The sequence below is a fragment of the Homo sapiens genome, chromosome 22, assembly GCF_000001405.40.
Source record: "Homo sapiens chromosome 22, GRCh38.p14 Primary Assembly".
NCBI lineage: Eukaryota > Metazoa > Chordata > Mammalia > Primates > Hominidae > Homo > Homo sapiens.
Window position 1 is genome coordinate 29906615 of NC_000022.11, and position 12847 is coordinate 29919461.

At 38.2% G+C, this 12847-nt stretch overlaps 1 protein-coding gene and 1 pseudogene across 3 annotated transcripts in view, besides 3 other annotated features; one reads left to right on the forward strand and one right to left on the reverse strand.

The window, feature by feature from the left end:
• The window catches only part of MTMR3 (myotubularin related protein 3), a 147695-nt gene that overhangs the window by 23441 nt on the left and 111407 nt on the right, over positions 1 to 12847 (forward strand). The window lies entirely within an intron of this gene.
• Positions 102 to 603: an enhancer, noted in NCBI's record as "H3K4me1 hESC enhancer chr22:30302705-30303206 (GRCh37/hg19 assembly coordinates)". NCBI's record gives its function as "activates a minimal SCP1, AML or CMV promoter by ChIP-STARR-seq in primed H9 embryonic stem cells {active_cell/tissue: H9 hESC(primed)}" and the evidence as "EXISTENCE:reporter gene assay evidence [ECO:0000049][PMID:30033119]".
• Positions 604 to 1103: an enhancer, noted in NCBI's record as "H3K4me1 hESC enhancer chr22:30303207-30303706 (GRCh37/hg19 assembly coordinates)". NCBI's record gives its function as "activates a minimal SCP1, AML or CMV promoter by ChIP-STARR-seq in primed H9 embryonic stem cells {active_cell/tissue: H9 hESC(primed)}" and the evidence as "EXISTENCE:reporter gene assay evidence [ECO:0000049][PMID:30033119]".
• Positions 4174 to 4226, reverse strand: RNU5F-5P (RNA, U5F small nuclear 5, pseudogene; annotated as a pseudogene).
• Positions 5969 to 6951: an enhancer, noted in NCBI's record as "H3K27ac hESC enhancer chr22:30308572-30309554 (GRCh37/hg19 assembly coordinates)". NCBI's record gives its function as "activates a minimal SCP1, AML or CMV promoter by ChIP-STARR-seq in naive H9 embryonic stem cells {active_cell/tissue: H9 hESC(naive)}" and the evidence as "EXISTENCE:reporter gene assay evidence [ECO:0000049][PMID:30033119]".

Consider the following 12847-nt stretch of genomic DNA (forward strand, 5'->3'; position numbering starts at 1 on the left):
GATGAACCACCGTGCCTGGCCTGTCTCACTTTTTATACCCCGAAAGCATTATTACTATCCATTACTTTATTCAGAGCTAGGAGCTTTTTCATTCCTGTACTGTGGAACTACTTGAGTTGCCCTATATCTACTCCCCCTTTCCCCATTCTGAACATTGTTTCACCTTATAAAAATTAAAAATTTGGCTGGTGTGGTGGCTCATGCCTGTATCCCAGCACTTTGGGAGACAGAGGCAGATGGATCACTTGAGGCCAGGAGTTCGAGACCAGCCTGGCCAACATGGTGAAACCCCGTCTCTACTAAAAACACAAAAATTAGCCGGGCATGGTGGCGTGCATCTGTAATCCCAGCTACTCGGGAGGCCGAGGCAGGAGAATTGCTTAAACCAGGAGACGGAGGTTGCAGTGAGCTGAGATTGCGCCACTGCACTCCAGCCCAGGTGACAGAGTGAGACTCGGTCTCAAACAAACAAAATCCAAAAACATCCTAAAAATTACAAAATTTGGCCAGGCGTGATGGGTCACACCTGTAATCCCAGCACTTTGGGAGGCCAAGGCGGGTGGATCACGAGGTCAGGAGATCGAGACCATCCTGGCTAACAGAATGAAACCCCGTCCCTACTAAAAAAATACAAAAAATTAGCCGGGCGTCGTCGTGGGCGCCTGTAGTCCCAGCTACTTGGGAGGCTGAGGCAGGAGAATGGTGTGAACCCGGGAGGCAGAGCTTGCAGTGAGCCGAGATAGCACCACTGCACTCCAGCTGGGTGACAGAGCAAGACTCTGTCTTAAAAAAAAAAATTACAAACTTTTTTATTGATGGGTTCCTCTAAAACCCATTACTAAAGCTACTTACTAAAGAGTAGATGTTTTCCCCCTTCACCGATAGTTGATGGACCGTCAGAGAATCCTTGAGTATCTCAAGCTTTTACTTAACTTCAGAGTTCTTACCTGAGACAGAAAAGTTGAGTTTTCTTTCCTCAAGGGCATAAAAAATTTTAAATGTACCCATTTGCATAAAATCTACTCAAAGAAAATTATCAAGTGATTTTACAGGATATTTTTGGATGCTTGCACATAAGAGAATCTTTTAACAAAACTGCTTAACCTCCTTTGTATTATTCATTCCCTCTCTTACTAAAACAAGTGAATGGCTTGCTTGGATGTGTATCTGTATCTTTTTTTTTGATACACACTTTGAAGGAGTCTTCTGAAATGCAGTGTTTTGGCCACCATTCCAGCTCTACAGGAATATGGTTTCATGATAAAGCCAACAAAGAGCACACTGGCAGCAGTCCAGCAGCTGACTCACCAAGGAGTAATGATAGACACTTTGAAAGGAGTGACCTGTCTCAGGATCTCACATTTCAAAGCTTCGTGCTATGATTACATTGGTAGAAGGCAGCCAAGAAATCTAGATGAGATCTTGCTTGTACCTCCTAAGAGTAATGGTATATAGGTAGGAAGGACTTCCACAGTCGGATGCAAGTAAGATTTTTTTTCCTAACAACCTTGTAAAACCTGGGGGTGGGAAACAAGTTGAGGATTCAGAATGGGAGTAACCGTGGTGGAAGCTTTCCTTCTACGGACCTGGATGAGAACAGCCTTATAGTGACTGAGGGTAACTCAAGAAGCTCAATGCCATATTAGTTTTCTAGAGCTAAGGGAATATACATAGTTTAGTAGTAAGCACAAGTATCGTGTTCATGTCAGACACTGTAGCTACTGCTTCCTGCTAGAACAGACCAGAAGAAACCAAAGCAAGACCAGAATCATTTCAGTTTTGAGGAACAGACCCTTTCCTTACTAGCATTGCACACTTTAGGAGTAAAAATAGAATGAAAGTGGATTTGCTTCAGTACTCTGAAATAGTTAACTGTTGATTGTTTTGGTGGATTAGAGTGATTGCAGCTCTGTTTCTAAATTGAATTTCATGGCTATACGTTGTTCTAGGTGGCAAATTAATCTTTTATCAGTACCACAAATTGATTGTTGGCCCTTTGCGGAAATAGCAGGAATATGTCTTTTTCATTTTGTTGAAGGGTAGCTCAGAGATAAAACATTTACATAATCTGAAAATATTTTTCAGAGATAAGACTAAGTGACTGTGTATACCACAGTGATAGATTGATCCACTTTGATTATTGTAGAACTTTCTATTTCTCAGTAAAAAGTGCTAAACATGGTAAAATTATGAAGGATTGCTTTTAGCTATTTGCTGTATTCTTTAAAGCATATTTAGGAATAAAAAGTTAATTTCCAAAGTGCTGTCATTTATTTAATACATGTTTTCTCCAGAATGTGCTTCCCAAAAGTTAAGAGTGCTTTTATTTATTTAAGAAATATGTTAATTTTTCTTTTCTTTTCTTTTCTTTTTTTTTTTTTGAGACAAATTCTCACTCTGTTGCCCAGGCTGGAGTGCAGTGGCACAGTCTACTGCAGCCTCGACCTTCCAGGCTCCCACGACCTTCCCAGGCCCAAGCCATCCTCCCAATTTAGCCTCCACCATGCTCAGCTGAGTTTTTATTTCTTGTAGAGACTGAGTATTGCCGTATTGCCCAGACTAGTCTCAAACTCCTGGGCTTACTGTGCCTGGCCCACAAGAAATATGTTACTTTTTTTGAGATTTTTGTATAATTTGAGAACACAGATTATTTGCCCTACTCCCCCAACCCCCAGTGATACAGACCTGGTTTCATTGCACTGAGAGAAAAAAATTAGTTTCTTAATTTACGTTGCGTTTCTGCCTTTTTGAGATTGAGTGCTTTGACTTTTCTCTTGTTTTTGTATTTGCTGTATATGTGTTGTTCCTACTTAATTTCTTATATGGTTTAAACTTGCATCTGTAAATTATTTATTAGCTAGCTTTATGACTTGGGCAAGTTACCTTATCTCTCTGCTCCTTAGTTTCCCTCTTTATAAAATGAGGATAATAATATTACCTACTTTGTAGAGTTGAGTAAGATTAATGACTAATAAATGGTGAAGCACTTAAAAGAGGGCTCTATACATGTTGGCTGTTAAAATTATAAGCGAGGACCTGGACTTCTCCCCTCCATTAATTGTAACTCTTCATTTTTATAATTTTTTCATAAATAGTATGTCTCTCAGCATATAACAGAACTTTGTATTAAGGAATAATAAATATCACCATATATGTAATTCTTTATTATAAACATAAATTTGCTTCTTGTTAAAAACAGAGTATCATTTTCTTGCCTCAGATCGAGCTTGAAAGAAATTAGTAGAAAGTGGGCCCTTTTGGCCGGGTGCGGTGGCTCACGCCTGTAATCCCAGCACTTTGGGAGGCCGAGGCGGGCGGATCATGAGATGAGGAGACCGAGACCATCCTGGCTAACACGGTGAAACCCCGTCTCTACTAAAAAATACAAAAAAATTAGCCGGGCATGGTGGTGGGTGCCTGTAGTCCCCACTACTCGCTACTCGGGAGGCTGAGGCAGGAGAATGGCGTGAACCCAGGAGGCGGAGCTTGCAGTGAGCCGAGATTGTGCCACTGCACTCCAGCCTGGGTGACAGAACGAGACTCCATCTCAAAAAAAAAAAAGAAAGTGGGCCCTTTTCTGTGTTTTATAGGTACCCACACACCACTGAATGTAGGTCATCGTTTAAAATCTGAGTGTACATCCAAATCCAGTGCAGTTATGTAGAACAAAACAGTTTGTATGGAACTAGAAGTGTTACTGGAAAGGTAAATACTGTAGTTGGTAGTAAACTGATCAGTTAAAGTGATGGATCAGCAAAGATTTGGGGGTTGCTGGTTTTTATTTAACACTCAGTTGTTTCAGAGTGATTACTCCTGAAACAAAGTTATTTCGAACATAGATGTGTTAAGAAATTTCATATTCCTTTCCACTTAAACCTCTTGAGAAAGGAAGCATTTCTTCAGGGAGAGTTAGCTATGTGAGTGCTACATGAATTTTAGTCATTACTGTGGCGACTATATGATAACCAAAAGTAGGAGTCTCACACTTTAGTTTCAAATTTGTGCTGTTATTGAGTAAATTTTTAAAATGAGATTGCCCTCTTTCTTGCTAAACTGTCATATATATAAGCCCATTAAATTGACTTTTATGCCTCTTTTCCTTTTTTTTTTTTTTAACCTGTTAAGACTTTTTTTTTCTTTCTCATATTTACCCCTGCCTAAGCAAGGCCTCAACTCTCCACGGAAATCTTTAGTAAAAGGCAAAAAGATTTATTCATTATGAAGAGAAACCAGAGCATGTGTGACAGGACTTTCTGTAATTATAAGTTAGTGGTTCAGTGCCAGGGGTTAGATTTTCTTAACTTTTATGTTTAGTAGGATTATTGATAATTCCTAAGTTGTATCCTTAAATCATATTTTTTGAACATTAGGGATCTGCGTCCAACACTTAATTATACTAGTAAAAGGAATAGAACATGCACTGGATTTCTTGTTTTTGAGATTCTTTCATTCCTGCCCTACCCCAGGCAGGAGGTCTGTCTGCAGTGGAAGAGAATGAAACCAGAATGAGGCCAAACAAGTAAAGAGGAGCATGAGATAGAGATGGATCCCATGGCACTGTGCCTTTGAGGCCCTGGTCCTGAAGTTTTTTTCCTTGTTTCTACGCAGCATCTCATTATCCTGTGAGCCATTAAATTCTGATTTTTGGGCTGGGTGTGGTGGCTCGCACCTGTAATCACAGCACTTTGGGAGGCTGAGGCAAGACGATTGCTTGAGCCCAGGAGTTGGAGACCAGCCTGGGCAACGTAGGGAGACTTGTCTCTACAAAAAATAAAAAAATTAGCCAGGTGTGGTAGCACACGCCTGTGGTCCCAACTACTTGGGATGCTGACATGGGAGGGTCCCTTGAGTCTGGAAGGTCAAGGTTGCAGTGAGCCATGATCACGATACTGCAGTCCAGCCTGGGTGACAGAGTGAGACTGTGTCTCAAAAAATTTTTTTTTAATTTTGTGTAAAATAGCTTGATTTGGGTTTTTTTTTTTTTACTTACAACTGAGAATTTTGACCAGTATATTTAATGTTAGTCTGACCATTTCTCCAGTGGGCTTTCTACGTATTTAAAAAATAGTTTGGACTTTAATCTCAGGGTAAACAATATATATAGGTACACTCAGTTTATATATGAGATAATATTCAGGATCAGTGGAGTGAAAATAGTAAAGTATCTTCCATTTTTCAATGGCTTAGAGGGAAAAGTGTTCATAATGGGTATAGAATTAATCAGTATTCCTTTCCCATTATTTATGCCTATACAGTGTAGAAGTTTCCCTTAAAGAGCTTATCACCATAATAAGTACAATAGCAAAGATATAAAGTCAGTACTTTTCACTGATTAGGCATAAATATCCTCTTTATTGTTTTCTTACAAAGTAGCTATGATAAACATATAAAAGGGTCAGAAAGAGAGGGGAGAAAAACTCGGTGAAAAGTCAGACAAGAGGAAATGAAGAGGTGAGGTATGTATAGTAAGCATTAGTGAACTTGTAGTAATTGCTTTAGGTTTCATGGATTGCCCACTTGTGGATTAAATGTTAGACTTCTGCAAAATGAGTTGATGGTAGAGATGAAGAAAAGTCTTAATTTGTTTTTTTTATGCTAAGGTTAAAGTTGATGTGGCTAATTAGGTATTAAGATCAGTTTTCCTGTCTTTTTATTATTTATTTATGTTTATGAATGAATGAATGAAGAAATGAATGACAAAGTCTCGCTTTGTCACCCAGGCTGGAGTGCAGTGGCATGATCATAGCACACTGCTGCCTCAAACTCCTGGGCTCAAAGGATCCTCCTGCCTCCCAAGTAGCTGGGATTACAGGTGTGCGCTACCATGCCTGGCTAATTTTAAAATTTTTAGTAGAGATGGGTTCTCGCTATGTTGCCCAGGCTTATCTAGAACTCAAGCGATCCTCCTGTGTCAGCCTCCCAAAGTGCTAGGAGGATTGCAGGCATGGGCCACCAAACCTGGCCTTGTCTTGCTTTTTAATAAGCTGTTGTCATTATGTTGCCTTTCAAAGTCCAGTTCTTCTTTACCACCCCATTTGCCTGGAGGTAATGCATTAGGTGAGAATGAAAGGTGAGTACCTAAAAGATTCAGAATTGGAAGGCCTTAATAGGATCAATGTGTAGGAGCTGCAGAGAATATGAAGGACTTTTAAATATTCCAGTCCCAAAATAAACTTGACCATTGGCCAAGATTGTGGTAAGCTAAGTATTTGAGATGTCTGTGCTACATCATCCAACTCTTGGCCTGAACTGTTTTAGCTGGCTTGCCTATGTAAATTGAAACTTCCTTTAATACTTAACTGTGAGTTAAACATAGTTCTGGAGCTCCATCGAAAGGGTCTTAGTCAGCCAGGCACAGTGGCTTACACCTGTAATCCCAGCATTCTGGGAAGCCGAGGCGAGAGAATCACTTGTGAGGCCTGGAGTTTGAGACCAGCCTGGGCAACATTGCAAGACCCCCTCTACAAAATAATAATAATAATTATTATCCAGCTGTGGTGGTGCTCACCTATAGTCCCAGCTACTCAGGAAGCTGAGGTAGGAGAGTTGCTTGAGCCCAGGACATCAAGACAGCAGTGAGCCATGATTGCACCACTGCACTCTAGCCTGGGTAACAGCGAGACTCCCATCTCAAAACAAAAACAGAAACAAAGGGTCTTAGTTATACAGATCTTCTTAATCATTCCTAAAGCGTACATTCCAAGTTTATATTTACAGTAAAGTGATCTATATCCCAAAACATGTTTCCACTGGTTACTAATTTGGGGCAAGTCATTAACTTCTCAGAGCCTTCTGTAACTAAGATTTAGGGAAAATACTGGTCTTAACCAGAGCACATATGTATACCTTTGACTCTTTTTGCTGCCACATGGTTAAAAAATCAGCCTTAGAGAGGTATAATTTGCACAAATTTTGCCTTTTTTCTAGGATGTAATATAAATGAAATCATACAGGATATACTATTTTGTGCCTGTCCTCTTTCATTTTAGTATAATGCTTTGAGAATCATTCATATTGTTAAAAGCAGTAGTTGTTCCATTTAATTGCTAAGTAGTAGTCCATTGTATGGATATTCCACAATTCCTTTATTTACTAGTTAATGGATATTGGGGTTTTTTTTTTTTCCAGGTTTTGGGTTTATTTATTTATTTATTTGAGACGGAGTCTCGCTCTGTCGCCCAGGCTGGAGTGCGGTGGCGAGATCTCGGCTAACTGCAACCTCCGCCTCCTGGGTTAAAGCTATTCTCCTGCCTCAGCCTGCTGAGGAGCTGGGACTACAGGCTCATGCCACCGCACTCGGCTAATTTTTTGTATTTTTAGTAGAGACGGAGTTTCACCTTGTTAGCCGGGTTGGTCTGATCTCTTGAGCTCGTGATCCGCCCACCTCAACCTCCCAAAGTGCTGGGATTACAGGCATGAGCCACCACGCCCGGCCCAGTTTTTGGCTATTACGAATAAATCTCCTCTGAATATTTGCAACATAGATCTTTGTGTGGACATATATTTTCATTTCTCTTGGTTAAAAATCCAGGAGTAGAAATTGCAGGATTGTAGGGTAAGTGTGTTTATAGTTTTTAAAGTAACGGCCTATTTTGCATTCCCACTGGCAATGCATGAGAATTCCAGGGCTCCAAATCCTTGTTGATGCTTGGTATTGTCATTCTTACTAACTTAAGTCATTCTAGTGGGTCTGTAGCAATACATCATCATGGTTTTAGTTTGTAATTTCCAGATGACTAATGATGATTATCTTTTCATGTGCTTATTTGCCATTTATATGTCTTTGGTGAAGTGTCTGTTCAAATCTTTTGCTCATTAAAATAGGTTGTTTTTTGTTTATTGTGAGTTCATAATGTATTCTGAATATGAGTCCTTCATAACAGGTTTTGTAAATTACATGTTTTGCAAATATGTTCTTGTAATTTGTGGCTTGCCTTTTCATTCTTAACAGTGTCTTTCAGAGAGCAAAAACTTAATCTTTATGTAGTCAGTTATTTTTTTTTTCTTTTTGAGTTAATGATCTTTTTAAAAGCCTATCTAAGGAATTGTCTCTAAACCTAAGGTCACTAATATTTTCTTAAATTTTATTCTGGAAGTTTATAGCTTTGTTTGACATTTGGGTCTGTGAAACACTTCAAATTAATACTGAGAGAAGTAAGTGTAGGGTTGCCTTTTTGTATATACTGTGAATATCTGAGTTTTCCTCTGAGCAGTGCTTCAGTTGCAGCTCACAAAATGACATATTGTGTACTACTATTCAGTTTGAATATTTTCTAATTTCTCTTTTAATGTCTTTTTTGGCCTATGAATTATAAAAGTTTGATGTTTAACTTCCTGTAGATATTTTACTGTTACTAATTTAATTCCATTGTGGTCAGAGAACATACTCTATAGGATTTCAGTCTTTTTCAGGATTTCAGAATTTGAGATTTGTTTTGTGGTAAGGCATATGGTCTATTGTGGTGAATGTTTTGTGTCTTTGAAAAGACAAATATTTGGTTCTACCAGTTCTGTCTCATATATTTTGAAGTTCTGTTTTTAGGTACATACATATTTAGGATTGTTATGTCTTCTCAGTAAATTCATTCTTTTATAATGACTTGTCCCACTTTATTTTGATAATATTTGCCATCCCCCAGGCTACTTTAACATGAATATAACTCTTGTAGCTTTATTACCACAGTATTTGCATAATTTTTTCCCATCCTTTTACTTTTAGTCTGTGTATATATTTGCAATGCATTTCTTGTGATTAGCACATAGTTAGGTCTCGCTTTTTTATTTAGGCTGACGGTCTCCTTCATTCATTCATTTGTTCATTCATTGAGATGGAGTCTCGCTCTGCCACCCAGGCTGGAGTGCAGTGATGCCATCTTGGCTCACTGCAACCTCAGCCTCCCGGGTTCAAGTGATTCTCCTGCCTCAGCCTCCTGAGGAGCTGGGATTACAGGCGCCTGCCACCATGCCCGGCTAATTTTTGTATATTTTATGTTTTGTATATTTACCCCTGTGTTGGCAAAGCTGGTCTCAAACTCCTGACTTTAGGTGATCCACCCGCCTTGGCCTCCTAAAGTGCTGGGATTACAGGTGTGAGCCACTGCGCCCGGCTGACAGTCTCCTTTTAATTGTTGTTATTAAATGATGGGTTTACTCTGAGTTTGAGTATCCATATGGTTAGGTTTCAGTCTACCATTTTGCCATTTGTTTTCTATTCATCCCGTCTATTCTTTTCTGTCATTTTTTGAATGAAAGATTTTGTAATATTTCATCTTATCCCCTCTTTTAGTGGAGATATACTTATTTGTTCTATTTTTCTCTGTGGCTGCTCTATAGTAGATACCTTTAACTTACGACATTCTGCCTTCAAATTATATACCACTTAATGTATAAGAATCCTATGGCGTTATGTCTCCATTTTCCTATCTTCTGTTCTTTTTGCTATTGTCATACATTTTACTTTTGGATATGTTAGAAAATCCATAATTCAACGTTAGGCTTGTTTTTATTTAAAGCTTTGTTCATCTGGGCCTGTAGAGGAGCCTTTGCCCTCGGGCTAGTTGAGCTGTGTTTATAAAGGTTTCAGCTGAATGGCCTGAGTTTAGTAAGGTCTCTTTAATCAGTCAGAAGGAGAATGCCTGTGTAAACTCTGGTAGTTGTGTTTATAGTTCCCAAGTAGTTGCTTGTTACCCAGTGGTTGTTCTTTGCCTACCCTCGTGAAATCTCACCTAATACATGTGCAGCTAATTTAGTAAAGATGTAGTAGTGCCTCACAAATTACAGCTGCTTCAGCCTTCGGAGACACATTTAAGTTTCTGATTGGGTTTCCACCCTCCCTAGATTCTCAGTTTCTCCCTTTCTGGCTGGGGTCTGGAAACTGCCTCAAAATACAAAGCTTTGACAATCATAAGGCACAGGTAATTTGCTTGTCTTCTCTCAGGGATCACAGTTCGGTGCTATTGTTCAGCATCCAAGAATAGCTGTTTCATGTATCTTGTCCAGTTTTTTAGTAGTTTTGGTGGAAGGGCTAGTCTCAAGTTACTCCATCATGGTAAGACTAATTTAACTTTTTATAAATACAAGGTTTGCATGATAAAGGCTATTATAGCCTACTTCATAAATTAATACATTGCATTCTGCGGGCAGTGTTTTGCACCATTTGTCCTGGCTTAGCTGATATTCATGTTCTAATTGTTCATTACAGGATTTTGTGTAAATAAATAAATGTTTAGCCTTTGTAATGGGATTGTTAATAGTACCCTGGATCTGCTACTTTACCAATTGCTCCCTAATGCCTACAGTTGATTGCCAACACTATCTCACTGCCCCCTGTAACTGCAGTAGTTTGAGCTTTAAGATACAATGTCACTAATTATGGATTATTCTGTTCTTGTTCTACAATATCCCAATATCTTCAGCAAAGGATTCTGTATTGGCTCCCACCAGCTGGTATTTACTAGAATGTGGAAATAATTCAAACAGGAGGACTGTGCTTTTGAAAACCTGCTTTAACATTAGAAGAGGAAAAGTGATTGTAAATGGCTATTTTTCATGTAAGGGAGGGATTAAATTTTCATATCTATTGTTTAAAGAAATCTGTAGCCAAAGGTGTCTGTTTTTAGTTGGGTCATTGTTTAGGACTATAGACTTCGGTTTTGTATTCTTAGTAATATTAACCCCTTCACCTCCCCTGATAACCCAAGAAAAGATCCTTCGTATAAGATTTTAAAAATTGCACCAGAGGAGCCAAGTGGCTCATGCCTGTAGTCCCAGCTACTCACTACTTGGCAGGCTGAGGTGGGAGTATTGCTTCACCCCAGGAGTTCAAGGCCCAAGGCCAGCCTGGGCAACACAGGGAGAACGCGTCTCTTAAAAACAAACAAACAAAAAAATTGCACTGGGATTTGCATTAAAAGTTGCAATACATACCTAGTATGTTTTCTAATCATAATGTGCAATTTTAAAAAAAAGTGTAATTTTTATCTGCCTTCTAATTTGAGCCTTTATTGTTCACCAGTAGGTTTATTTCACTGGAACAAGTCTTTGTGCCATATTTGGCATCACCAAAGGAATAGTGCCAGTATTTATTGACAAATGAGGACAAATAGTTTTTCCACATTCTATTGCCATCATTGTTACTAGGTAAACAATAGAAGCTTATAAAAATATTGTGCATTTAATACCTTTTTGGTTTCCTTTTATACTTGTCAAAAGTCATTTATACATAAATTGACATACTGTGTCCATGATATGTATGGATAAGTAAGATCTTTTTGTAGCTTGAATATCTTATGAGTAAATAGCATTTCCTAACTATTAAATGGGATTTGAATAGCTGTCAAGGGATTACTTGATACAGAGAAGTTGCTAATTTATTTTGAAATTGTAAAATACATTTTCCCCTCTGAAATCACGAAATGCCTCATATTGCTAATGCAGTGAGTTTAAGTGTTTAATTTAGAAAAAATTAGTAACTGCTGGTTGCCTCATATTGCTAATGCGGTGAGTTTAAGTGTTTAATTTAGAAAAAATTAGTAACTGCTGGTGTTATTTGGCATGAGATGAACCTGGAAGGGAAGTGTTGAGGGGCATCATCTGTACTTGGCACTGTTTAGAACTTTCTTTAGAGGTGTATAGTGCTTTCTTACACTAATATTCCAGTGTATGCCTGAATAGCACTTTTCTTCTTGTACTGAAAAATAAGTCCATGGTGTTAAGCAGGCATCTCTAAAGTGGCCATCTGATTTAAAATAGCTTCCATAAGTTTTAATTAATTTTGCATGTTTTAGTTTCTCTTTTTGATAGCAGGTAGTAGCTCTCTGAAGCATTCCTTCTGCCTTGAAACATCTTTCTTTTTCATATATTTGCCGTTTTCCTTTGTGAGACTTAGGCTTATAATACAATAAATATTTAAGTGCCACCTATTTACTAGGCACTGTTAGGTTATAGGCTCTGTAGATGTAGTGGTGAACAAGATCTCCGTTGTTACTCAGTTTGTAGACTATGAAGGAAAAGGAGTAAGGGTTGGAGAATTACTCATGTATTAAATATATGTTGCTTTTTGGAGGCAAATGAATAAAATATTTAGAATGGTTAAGATAGTCTTCTGCTTTCTTTGGATTCACTAGGGGTTTTATCATAATCTGTCTCATATCATTTCATATGTTAAAAGGGAATTTTAATGAAATACGTTACTACTGGTTGTGGATTCTAAAAGGTAGAAGGACAAAATATTATTTGCCTTTAAGAATACAAAGAAAGGATTGTCTGTTTGTATGGTTAGTTGAATTGTCTTATTTCCTATTTATTTATTTTTTATTGCTGAGATCTCACTTTGTTGCTCAGGGTGATTTTTAACTCATGGCCTCAAGTGATCTCCTGCCTTGGCCTCCCAAAATGCTGGAATTACAGGCCTGAGCCATTTCACCCCAGCCTATTTCTTATTCTCCCTACAAGGGACATTTTAGTGTAAGGCAAAAATATAAAATTATCACTCATAATGTTTTTTCGGAAAATATATGACTGCATGGTTTTGTAGTTTTCTTAGCAGTCACTGGGTCATTAAGTTACCTCGTTTTTTGCTTCTTGTTCTTCCTTTTTTCTGGGGGAAAAAGTTTTCTCTAGGTCTCATCTCTCAATTCTTTAGCAAGGCATATTTTTATTCATCATACCATAACTATATACATACTTAAAAGTAAATGACATTTTGTCTTACCATGGATTTCTCACGTATCTGGTGAAGTGGTTTAAACTGTCCAATTTTATGTGCATTGAAAGCAAAAGCTAGCTGAGAAAGGAAAGCTTTTCTCATCAAAGAGGTTGAAATTACTGTCGTAAAACAGTGATAAAT